At 54.1% G+C, this 12,270-nt stretch overlaps 1 protein-coding gene across 28 annotated transcripts in view; it reads right to left on the bottom strand.

Moving 5' to 3' along the window:
* Positions 1-12,270, bottom strand: part of MCF2L (MCF.2 cell line derived transforming sequence like) — a 205,408-nt gene that overhangs the window by 23,205 nt on the left and 169,933 nt on the right. For all 28 annotated transcript variants that reach the window (NM_001438391.1, NM_001438392.1, NM_001438393.1 and 25 more), the window contains 7 exons: positions 12,118-12,234; positions 11,453-11,602; positions 10,368-10,492; positions 6,365-6,479; positions 1,975-2,094; positions 1,349-1,540; positions 381-572 (listed from right to left, as the gene is read on the bottom strand). In NM_001438391.1, coding sequence (NP_001425320.1) covers positions 381-572; positions 1,349-1,540; positions 1,975-2,094; positions 6,365-6,479; positions 10,368-10,492; positions 11,453-11,602; positions 12,118-12,234 — 1,011 coding nt within the window. The remainder of the gene's footprint in view (positions 1-380; positions 573-1,348; positions 1,541-1,974; positions 2,095-6,364; positions 6,480-10,367; positions 10,493-11,452; positions 11,603-12,117; positions 12,235-12,270) is intronic.

Genomic DNA, 12,270 nt, shown 5'->3' with positions numbered 1-12,270 from the left:
ATTCCAGCACTTTGGGAGGTTGAGCTGGGTGGATCACCTGAGGTCAGGAGTTCGAGACCAGCCTGGCCAACATGGTGAAAACCTGTCTCTAATAAAAATACAAAAATTAGCCAGGCTTGGTGGTGGGCGCCTGTAATCCCAGCTACTCAGGAGGCTGAGGCAGGAGAATTGCTTGAACCTGGGAGGCGGAGATTGCAGTGAGCTAAGATCGTGCCACTGCACTCCAGCCTGGGCGACAAGAGCGAGATTCCATCTCAAAAAAAAAATAATAATAAATAAATACAAATAATTCATTAAATGATTCTTTCAAACTTCCCACAGAGGAATGCCTCACTGCTCGGGACAGCAAGCTGCAAATGGAGAGCCCGAGTCAGCGTTACCATGAGATCTTGGTTGAGGATGGATTCGTATTCCTTGTAAATCGCGTTGAGCTCCTGGATCTTATTTTCCGCACCGGTCTCCAAAAACTTCTCGATTTCCTGGAGGGCAGCCTCCGCGCCGTCCTGGGACTGGCACTTGTCCACAGGTTGTGAGGCCAGCAGGTAAATCCCTTCATCACACCACTTCATGGACTGGAAACACAGAGCATTGCCGAGGGCAGGACGCCGTGAGAGGGTGAGAGCGTCACCCTGTCCAGGCACACACTGCCGGGGTGTCCTCCCGACAGATCCCGGGCCACCGACTCCTCGTGCTCCCGCCACCCTGTCCAAAGCACCCCAAGGGGACACAGTGCTGGACAAGGCCAATCCCAAGGGGACACAGTGCTGGACAAGGCCAATCCCAAGGGGACACAGTGCTGGACAACACCAGTGAATTACCCAGGGCGGGGCCTGGAGAGGCAGGGTAAGTGCAGTAGGATCAACCAGGCCTTAAGCTTCTGGATCTTTTAAAGAAATCATTATTGGCTGGGCAGGGTGGCTCACGCCTGTAATCCCAGCACTCTGAGAGGTGAAGGTGAGAGGATCACCTGAGCCCAGGAGTTCGAGACCAGCCTGGGCAACATAGTGAGACCCCATCTCTATCACACACACACAAAATACAAGAATTAGCTGGGTACGGTGGCATGCACCTACAGTCCCAGCTACTTGGGGGCTGAGGTGGGAGGATCCCTTGAGCCCAGGAACCAGAGGTTGCAGTGAGAAAAAAAAAAAAAAAGAAATAAAACTGTGGCAAATGAATTCTAGAAAAAGACCCTCTAGGCCAACAAGACCAGAAACGAAGGGTGCAAGGACATTTTCCAGCCAAAGAGCTGCCCTCCCCACGACAAGGGTCAGCCGGTGGTGGATGTGGGAGGAAGAGGCTGGTTCCGCAGCTGGGGGGGAGTGGGGTGGGGTCCGGCTCGGCCTACCGTCTCCAGGCGGCGGTGCAGCTCCAGGGACTTGCTGAGCAGCCCCCTCCTCCTTGCGATCTCCGCAGAGAACTGGTCACAGAGGTGCCGGAGCTCCTGGCACTTTGGGCGGATGGAGTCTACCGCGTAGTGCTTGTTCCCAATGAGCTGCTCGCCGTCCAGAGACAGGGCCCGGGCCCTCTCCACGGCCACCTGTGGACGGCCACCCAGAGGACCAGCTCAGGCCTCTTTCTGTTCGAGGCACACAGTGCCTTGCTGTACGGGATGTGTGTCCCGGGGCACACGTGTGTCTTGATTTCTTTGTTTACTGCTGCGGATGCCTGAGATGCTGCTTAATCCCCGAAGCTGTTCTGTGGCAAGTGCTTCTGGGGGCTGTGGTGGTCCCAGCAAAGGCATTGACCGTCTGCAGGGACCTGACCCAGAGGAGGCCGGGCAGGGCCATGTGCTGTGGGTGGGGTGTGGGAGGGGAGGGGTACAGGCAGCAGCACCCCCCACCCCATGGACATCCCCGGGGGGCTGTGGGGTCCGTTCTCCGTAGGCGGGAGGCCCATTCCTGCGCCTTCCTGAGCAGCACTTGATGATGCTGCCCACACTCTCCCGCCGCCCCCGCCGGGACCCCGCCTTACGCCTGATTTCTCCTCGAAGCTGGCCAGGTCCCTCAGCAGGTGCTCCACATGCGCCAGGCTGTTGCCGATGTCTGTGAAGGTTGCTATCTTCTGGGACGCTGCGTCCAAGATGGCTTTGACCTGGAACAGAGGAGGGCCCATCTCAGGGGGGTGTCTCCCTCACCTGAACAGAGAGAACCCACTCCAGTGCTCCAGATCAGGGAAATGACAGAATTCAAAGTCGGGCCAAGTGGTCATCAATCAAGCAGGGACCACAGTCAGACAGGTGCAAAGTCGGCCCCGAGTGGTCACCAATCAAGCGGGGACCGTGGGGCCTCTGGGTCGACGCTACCCACCAGTGACCTCACTGGCAGAACAATTGTTTCTCTGTGGCTTGTGTGTGCCTCCGTTTATCAACCACACGCCTGAAAACAGCATGAGGAGAAGATGAGATCACGCAAGGACAAAGGCCCTGGGAGCCGAAAGCCAGCAGCAATATGGACACTGGAATTGTCAGCATTCCTACTGGATCCTAGGTGTGGAGAGTTATGTAACTCAGTCCCTTCTAGCTTGCTACTAACTTCTAATGTCTACGATTTCTGCTGTTGGCAGGAAGACAATGGGTGTCATAGAAATGATTTTTATTTTAATTTTTAATTTTTTTTTTTTGAGACGGAGTTTTGTTCTTGTTGCCCAGGCTGGAGTGCAGTGGCGTGATCTTGGCTCACTGTAACCTCTGCCTCTCTGGTTCAAGTGATTTTCCTGCCTCAGCCTCCCAAGTAGCTGGGATTACAGGCACCAGCCATCACGCCCAGCTAATTTTTGCATTTTTAGTAGAGATGGGGTTTCACCATGTTGGCCAGGTTGGTCTTGAACTCCTGACCACAGGTGATCCACCCGTCTTGGCCTCCCACAGTGCTGGGATTACAGGTGTGAGCCACCATGCCTGGCCTGATTTTTAAAACATATGACCACTTATTCCTTTAAATACAAAAGCTTTTAATTTTTGTTATTGGAAATGATCCTGAGAATGGGTGTGTACGCAGACATCCCAGTGCCAAGGGGGTTGTAGTTCAGATGGCCTGGGGTTGAAGGCCAGGAAGGCAGGATTCTTGTCCATCCTTGAACCCCCTGCATCTGGCACAGCTGATGAGTGAGACTTCTCTCCATGTTACGCACAGCCACTGAGTTATGGATAATGCACCACCTCTCAGAAACTAGCTCGGATATAGAAGAACTCAATACCATCAACCAACAGGATCTAACTGATATGTATAAAACTTCACCTAACAATAGCAGAATACACATTCTTTTCAAGTGAGGAACATATACCAAGAAAGACCATATTCTTGGGCTGCAAAACAAATCTCAACACATTTATAAGAACAGAAATCATACAGAGTATGTTCTCTGATTACAATGAATCAAACTTGAAATCAAGAATGGAAAGACAACGGGAAAATCTCTGAACACTGGAAGCCAAACAACATACATTTAAAGAATGGATGGGTCAAAGAGGAAGTTCCAAGGGAAATTGGAAAAAAAAAAAAAAAAAGCTGGAGTAAATGAAAAAGAAAATACAATACATCAAAATTTGTGGAACACAGCTAAATCAGTGATGAGAGGGAAATTTATAGTGTTCTTATTAAATATGTATGTTAGAAAAGAGGAACAGTCTCAAATAAAGAATGTAAGTTCCCACCAAAGCAATTTGTAGAAATAATAAAGGTAGGATCAGAAATCAATGAAACTGAGAACAGAAAACAACAGAGAAAACTAATGAAACAAAGAACGAGTTCTTTGGAAAGATGAGGAGTGATACATCTCAATCTAGATTGACAAAGAAAAAAGGAAAAGATGCAAATTACAAATATCAGAAATGAAACAGGGAATATCACTACAGACCCTGCAGACGTCAAAAAGATAAGAAAGAATACTATAAACAACCCTACACATTGCCTTGAAAAGCACACTACTATATCTCATTGTGAAACAGATAGTTTCAATAGTTGCGTAACTATTAAGGACACTGAATTCATAATTTTAAAAGTCTCCCAAAGAAATCTCTAGGCCCAGATAGTTTTATTGAGCATCTACAAGAATCCTACAACTAACATTACACCTGACAGTGAAAAACTAAACACTTTCCTCCTAAGGTTGGGGACAAAGCAGAGATGTCCAGTCTCGCCACTCTTATCATATGGTGGAAGCTCTAGTTGGGGCAGTACGCAGTGGGGCAGGGTGTTGTGGGTGGGGGGTAGAATAAAAGGCATATCTTCAAAAAGGAAGAAACCAAACTGTCCTTATTTGCACATGACATGATGGTCTATATGGAAAATGTCAAGGACTTCACAAAAAACCATCTCAAATACGTGTGCTCAGCAAGGTCGCAGGAGACAAGATAAATATACAAAAATCAATTGTGTTTCTATGTGCAGCAATGAATACATAAATGCCAAAATTAAAAATATAATACTGTGATGACTTCTTAAAGTGGAATATTAAAGGTAAGTCAAACAAAATACGTACTGAACTTGTGTGCTGAGAACTACTCGACACTGATGAAAGAAATCAAATGTTGGGAATACCATGTTTGTTGACTAGAAGAGTCAACACAGTAAAGACATTTCTTCTCCTTAAAATATAGGTTTAACACAACTCCTATGAAAACCCCAGGAAATTTGTTTTCATATATGTAGACAAGATAATTTTAAAATTGCCATGAAAAGGCAAAAGAACTAGAAGCTAACACAATTTTGAAAAAGAAAACAAAGAGGGAAGAATGAGTGTACTTGATTTCAAGACATTATATAGTTGCAGCAATTAAGACCTTGTGGTACAGACAGAGGAAGAGGTATGTAGATAAACATAATTGAATAGAGAGTCTCCAGAACAGACCCACACAAATGTGCCCAGAGCTTTGACAACGGTGGAGAAGAAATCCAGTGGAAGAAAGGGCCTTTTCAACAAACAGTGCTACAGCAATTGGACATCCAGAGGTAAAACAAATCATGATCTAATTCTCATACCTTATACAAAAATTAGCTCAAATTAGGTCATAGACTTCAATGTAAAACTATGAAATTTGAGGGGAAAAAGGCTTAGGGGAATATACTTGGAATCTAGGACCAAAAGTATAAACCTTAAAAGGAGAAATTGACAAATTGGAGTTCGTCAAAATTAAATGCTTTGGCTACGTGAAAAACCCTGTTAAAGAGGATGAAAAGACAAGTTACAGACCAGGAGAAAATATTCGCAAACCACATATGTGGCAAAGAACTAGTATCTGCAGTATATAAGGAATTCTCAAAATGTAACAAAACCGTAAAACAAAAGCACAAAACCAAACAATCCAGTTAGAAAATGGGCAACAGAAATAAGACATTTTACCAAAGAGGATATGCGAATGGCAAATAAGCACGTGGAAAGGTGTTTAGCACCATCAACACTGGGGAAACGCAACAGAAAACCACCGTGAGATGGCACACACATCAGGATGTGAGCATAATATGAAGAATCACTACCCCACCACGTGCTGGGGAAAGGGGAAGCAACTAGTCTCTCATACACTGAGAACCGTTTGGCATTTTCTTAAACGAAACATGCAACTACTATATAACCCTGCAATTACATTCTGGGCACTTAAGCCCAAGAAATGAAAACTTACATTTACACCAACATCAGTATATCAATGTTTGTAACAGCTTTATCTGTAATACTCAAATCCGGAAACAACCCAGATACCCTTCAACAGGTGAATGATTGAAAGAACTGTGGTCCGTCCACACCGGGGAACACAATGAGTGAGCCACCGGCACCTGGGGGTCTGCAGAGAGCTGTGCTGAGCAAACAAACAAATCCCGAGAGTGACATTCTGTGGGATTCATTAATGTCACATTCTTGAAATGGCAAAAGCACAGCCACGGAAACAGATGAGTGGTTGCCGGGGGCTGAGGAGGGACATGGGTGAGTCCACGAAGGGCCGCAGGAGGGAGACGTCTGGGTCTGGCTGCACTGGCCGTGTCGCTGTGCACCTCATGACTGTGACGCCGTCCTACAGTCTGGCACACAGCAGGCACATCCTACATGCATGTTGAATAAAAGGGCATGCAAATGACTATGAAGGGAGAGCAAAGGCTTCCTGCTACTTTACGAATAATGCAGTGTAAGTGCATCCCAGTGAGCTGATTTTCAATCACCTTTCTATACAATGACGCAGTCATCAATCGTGCATTTCAAGGCTCAGCCTGACTTAATCTCACAGGCTCCACCTGGCAAGCGGAGACTTTTCTGCATTAAGCCAAAGTCAACTGGGTGGCACGGCTCAGCTCCCGGCACTGGGACCAGGGCGCAGGCACAGGAGGCCCCGTGAGCATCAGGGCGGCTGCCGGCTCCACCCAGGGCCACTCACCTCCCGGAAGCCCTGCTCAAAGTGCCGGAGCTGCAGACACTGCTCCAGTTTCTGCTGATGCTTTGCCCAGAACTCATCGAAGGCAGCCTCGGTTTCGTTCAGCTGGGCCAGGAGCCTGGGAAAGAGGAGGAGTTGACCGTCTGTGTGGCCCACGGCGCCCCATGCAACGTGGAGCGCGGTGGGTGTTCAAGCGACCCCAAGGCTCATCTCCACCCCGGGCCTTCCTGAGATCCTGGCCTCCGCTCACTCCCTGCACCTAAACCTGGGATCTGCGGGCGCGGGCACTCAGGGCCGTCAGCATGGGAGGGAGGCCCTGGAGAAAGCATCAGGGGCTGTGTCCTTTCCTTCCTGCTTCTCTCCCTCTAGGTCACTGCGACTAGGCTGAGCCGCCGAGTTTGTTCATTTTTATTTTTTAAAAGTTTAAAAACTTTTTTTAAAATTTATTTTTTGAGATAGGGTCTGGTTCCATCACCTGGGCTGGGTGCAGTGGTGCAGTCTCGGCTCACTGCAACCTCTGCCTCCGCGTAGCTGGGACTCCAGCTGTGCACCACCCAGGTGCAATCTCGGCTCACTGCGACCTCTGCCTCCACGTAGCTGGGACTCCAGCTGTGCACCACCCAGGTGCAATCTCGGCTCACTGCGACCTCTGCCTCCGCGTAGCTGGGACTCCAGCTGTGCACCACCCAGGTGCAATCTCGGCTCACTGCGACCTCTGCCTCCGAGTAGCTGGGACTCCAGCTGTGCACCACCCAGGTGCAATCTCGGCTCACTGCGACCTCTGCCTCCGCGTAGCTGGCACTCCAGCTGTGCACCACCCAGGTGCAATCTCGGCTCACTGCGACCTCTGCCTCTGCGTAGCTGGGACTCCAGCTGTGCACCACCCAGGTGCAATCTCGGCTCACTGCGACCTCTGCCTCCGAGTAGCTGGCACTCCAGCTGTGCACCACCCAGGTGCAATCTCGGCTCACTGCGACCTCTGCCTCCGCGTAGCTGGGACTCCAGCTGTGCACCACCCAGGTGCAATCTCGGCTCACTGCGACCTCTGCCTCCGCGTAGCTGGCACTCCAGCTGTGCACCACCCAGGTGCAATCTCGGCTCACTGCGACCTCTGCCTCCGAGTAGCTGGCACTCCAGCTGTGCACCACCCAGGTGCAATCTCGGCTCACTGCGACCTCTGCCTCCGCGTAGCTGGGACTCCAGCTGTGCACCACCCAGGTGCAATCTCGGCTCACTGCGACCTCTGCCTCCGCGTAGCTGGGACTCCAGCTGTGCACCACCCAGGTGCAATCTCGGCTCACTGCGACCTCTGCCTCCGAGTAGCTGGCACTCCAGCTGTGCACCACCCAGGTGCAATCTCGGCTCACTGCGACCTCTGCCTCCGAGTAGCTGGCACTCCAGCGTTGCACCACCCAGGTGCAATCTCGGCTCACTGCGACCTCTGCCTCCGCGTAGCTGGGACTCCAGCTGTGCACCACCCAGGTGCAATCTCGGCTCACTGCGACCTCTGCCTCCAAGTAGCTGGCACTCCAGCTGTGCACCACCCAGGTGCAATCTCGGCTCACTGCGACCTCTGCCTCCGCGTAGCTGGGACTCCAGCTGTGCACCACCCAGGTGCAATCTCGGCTCACTGCGACCTCTGCCTCCGAGTAGCTGGGACTCCAGCTGTGCACCACCCAGGTGCAATCTCGGCTCACTGCGACCTCTGCCTCCGAGTAGCTGGCACTCCAGCTGTGCACCACCCAGGTGCAATCTCGGCTCACTGCGACCTCTGCCTCCGAGTAGCTGGCACTCCAGCTGTGCACCACCCAGGTGCAATCTCGGCTCACTGCGACCTCTGCCTCCGAGTAGCTGGCACTCCAGCGTTGCACCACCCAGGTGCAATCTCGGCTCACTGCGACCTCTGCCTCCGCGTAGCTGGGACTCCAGCTGTGCACCACCCAGGTGCAATCTCGGCTCACTGCGACCTCTGCCTCCAAGTAGCTGGCACTCCAGCTGTGCACCACCCAGGTGCAATCTCGGCTCACTGCGACCTCTGCCTCCGCGTAGCTGGGACTCCAGCTGTGCACCACCCAGGTGCAATCTCGGCTCACTGCGACCTCTGCCTCCGAGTAGCTGGGACTCCAGCTGTGCACCACCCAGGTGCAATCTCGGCTCACTGCGACCTCTGCCTCCGAGTAGCTGGCACTCCAGCTGTGCACCACCCAGGTGCAATCTCGGCTCACTGCGACCTCTGCCTCCGAGTAGCTGGCACTCCAGCTGTGCACCACCCAGGTGCAATCTCGGCTCACTGCGACCTCTGCCTCCGCGTAGCTGGGACTCCAGCTGTGCACCACCCAGGTGCAATCTCGGCTCACTGCGACCTCTGCCTCCGCGTAGCTGGGACTCCAGCTGTGCACCACCCAGGTGCAATCTCGGCTCACTGCGACCTCTGCCTCCGCGTAGCTGGGACTCCAGCTGTGCACCACCCAGGTGCAATCTCGGCTCACTGCGACCTCTGCCTCCGCGTAGCTGGGACTCCAGCTGTGCACCACCCAGGTGCAATCTCGGCTCACTGCGACCTCTGCCTCCGCGTAGCTGGCACTCCAGCTGTGCACCACCCAGGTGCAATCTCGGCTCACTGCGACCTCTGCCTCCGAGTAGCTGGCACTCCAGCTGTGCACCACCCAGGTGCAATCTCGGCTCACTGCGACCTCTGCCTCCGCGTAGCTGGGACTCCAGCTGTGCGCCACCCAGGTGCAATCTCGGCTCACTGCGACCTCTGCCTCCGAGTAGCTGGCACTCCAGCTGTGCGCCACCCAGGTGCAATCTCGGCTCACTGCGACCTCTGCCTCCGAGTAGCTGGCACTCCAGCTGTGCACCACCCAGGTGCAATCTCGGCTCACTGCGACCTCTGCCTCCGCGTAGCTGGGACTCCAGCTGTGCACCACCCAGGTGCAATCTCGGCTCACTGCGACCTCTGCCTCCGCGTAGCTGGGACTCCAGCTGTGCACCACCCAGTCAGCCCCACGCCCACCCTGCCAGGCGTGTGCACGGATCAGCGTCACTTTACAGATGAGGAAACTGAGTCTTTGGGAAGCTGACAAGGTGCCTGACACAGGCCAGGGCAGGGCCCACCCTCATGGGCTGTGCTGCAGCCTCTGCCTCGTGGGTCACGGCACCCCATCTACGAGGAGCCCCTCAAGGATGCGCCGTCGAGTCCCCGGGGCCCTTGGCATGTCCCTGGCAGAGAAGGCAGCTCAGGGTGTGGGCCACGCTGCGTGGGAGTCAAAGGCAGCTGAGAGTCAAAAGGACCAGCTTGGTCCAGGCCTGGGTGCGCCCCGCACGGCCCTGCCGGACAAGCCGCTGTCCAGCTGTGCGGGCCCTGCTCCTCAGCTCGGAGGCAGGGCTGATAGCACCCACCAGCGAGATGGGACATGGGAGGCTTGGGGAGTCTTGGGGAGGATGGGACGGGGGGAGGCTCGGGGAGTTCTCGGGGGGTGAGGGGGATGCTCAGGGAGTTCTGGACATCCTAGAGCACCATGCCAACCACACGAGTGCCCTACCCTGTGCTGCTATAAAGCTGGAAGCCCAAGGGAGAAATATGAGAATCACACCTTTCACAATGAAAGTAAGAAACACTATCTGCAGCAAGGAGAACCCCAGGCTTTCTCCCTGTCTGTGGAAGCCCCGCTTGGAATGCAGAAGCCCCAGGTCTAAGGCACTCCCATCGCCTCTGCTTCCCCTAACGCCTCCTTCATGCCGGCAAAAGGGCGTTTGCTCTAGGAAATTGTCCCCAAAACAGTGGCTTTCTGTGGGGTTCGAGAGAAAAGCATTTCAGCAGGAGGAGCCAGGCCCACACAGAGGCTCGGAGGCCGGCTGCTGTGCTGGCCCTGGCCAGGAGTGGGGTTGCCTGCCACGCTGCTTGCTATTTCCGTGGCCTGTTTCTTTTGCAGAAGCTGTGTGCCTGAGAGGATCCTGCCATGGACTGGGACAGGATGAGGGCAGGAAGGCAGCCGGGCCTCACCTCTGCACGGTGGCCTGGTTGTCAAGCTGGTCCTGGTTCACACTGGGCTCTGAGCCCTCAGCCTGCAGCTCCCTGAGGCTCTCCAGGACACTGTGCCCCTCTTTCAGTGCCAGCCTCAAATCCTCCTGTGGAGAGAATGCAGCCTCATGTCCCGGCCCCGTCCAGGCACACAGCGCAGGCTGGTGGTGAGGCCTCGTGGGGCCTTGCTCTTGAGGGGGCGGGGACTGAGGAAGGGGTCAATCCCCGACCCCCGAGTCTTCCCAGTCTCTTCTGTGGGGTCGTGCGGGCAGGCGGGGTGATGTGGGGGCCTCCCTCACTCCTGTGTGCCCCGGGGCAGAGCTGCCATTACAGGGCACTCAGGGCAACGGGTTAAGGTGAAAGAGTCACTGGAGACCAGGCTTTCTCATGGTGCCTGCTCCTGGTCCTCAGTGTCCTCACGGTGGAGCGGCCCGGTGAGCACAGAGGCACAGTCCTCGGGGACACACCAGCAGGTCATGGCCCTGGGCTACCATTGCTGCAAAGCCAGCAGCGTGCCGGTGGGCCAGGGGCAGCACAGAGCAGGGAGCACGTGCTCCTCAGAATACGTTTGTTCCAGCAAGCGCTGTGGACACGTGAGCACTGGGAGTGTTCTGCAAACAGGAATTCCAACCGCCACTTCATCGCCTGCTCGGCATGAGAAACCGGCACAGACATCCTGTCTCGGTCACACTCAGAAGCAAGAGATGTCTATTCGGGAGCTCCCCGCACAGACAGCCAAAAGTGCTCCTGAGAGGAGCCACCCCTGGTCCCACTCCTGAAGCCACGGCCACCCAGGGCCAATGGTTGACCCAACGCCAGAATGGCAGGCGCAGCCAGCAATCTACAGGGTTCATTTACACTCCTTTTATTCCGTTCTCGTCGGAGAGGTTGCCGAGCTAATTGCCATCAAAAGGCATCTCAAGCCTGCTGACTTCTTGGTCTTACGTGCTGCTGACACAAACTCCCGCTGGGACGAAAGACCCCCCGCAGCTTCCGACCGGAGCCCCGCGCAGCTTCTGACTGACCGGAGCCCCCCACAGCTTCCAGCCGGAGCACCCCCCATGTACCTTCGCCTTGTCCTTCTTCTCTGTGTGCGCACACAGCACTGAGCTTGTCGACTGGACGTCATTGGGCAGCTCTGTTTCAGCCAGCTCGGTCCCGAAGGACTGCAGCATCTGAGCCGTCTGCTTCACCATGAGGGCGAAACTTTCGATGGCCTTGGGGACAGAGAAAACACAATTGCATGCCTTGTGCACTGCACCCACCTCCTGCTGCCCTGAAAGCAGACACCGGCGGAAACCGTTCCCACACAGACCCATCAGGTGAGACCGGCTGACGCAAAGACGGTGAACGCCCTCCCATAGCGTCCTGCCCTCCTTGACCTCTTCAGAAACATACCAGGCACACTCTACACGTGTGCCCGTCACCTAGAGTCGCCTGTGCCTGCGCTGCCTCTCCCCGTTGAGAGCAGTGAGTGTTGCAAACCACAACGCAAGGGTTTTTTTTTTTTTTTTGGTCTCCAAGCCCAGAGAAAGCCACTCCCAAACTTATGACTCACGTTACTTCTTTACAATGACTAAGGTCCACTGAGACCATCTCCTCATTCTTGGGAAAGAAAACGACTGTTAATGTGAATGTGTTTTTGGAAAGGGCCGTGTTGTAATGCAAGAGCGATTCTGTGGAAGTACTCGAGCTGGTATCAGCCAGCCCCGCTGGCCCCGACGCGGCTCACCGTGCGCTGGCACAGCCACCGGGAGTGGCAGTAGTCCAGGGTCCCACCCAGGTCCTCGGTCAGCTGCGACTTATCGATGTAACCGTGTAAGTCTGGTACGGAGCTCAGCATTATGACCTGGAGGAGAAAGGGAATGCGTGGTAGTGTTTGGGA

Source organism: Homo sapiens, chromosome 13 (assembly GCF_000001405.40).
Source record: "Homo sapiens chromosome 13, GRCh38.p14 Primary Assembly".
Taxonomy (NCBI): Eukaryota; Metazoa; Chordata; class Mammalia; order Primates; family Hominidae; genus Homo; species Homo sapiens.
Note: the sequence above shows the minus strand (reverse complement) of the source record. Positions and strands in the feature narration are given on the sequence as shown.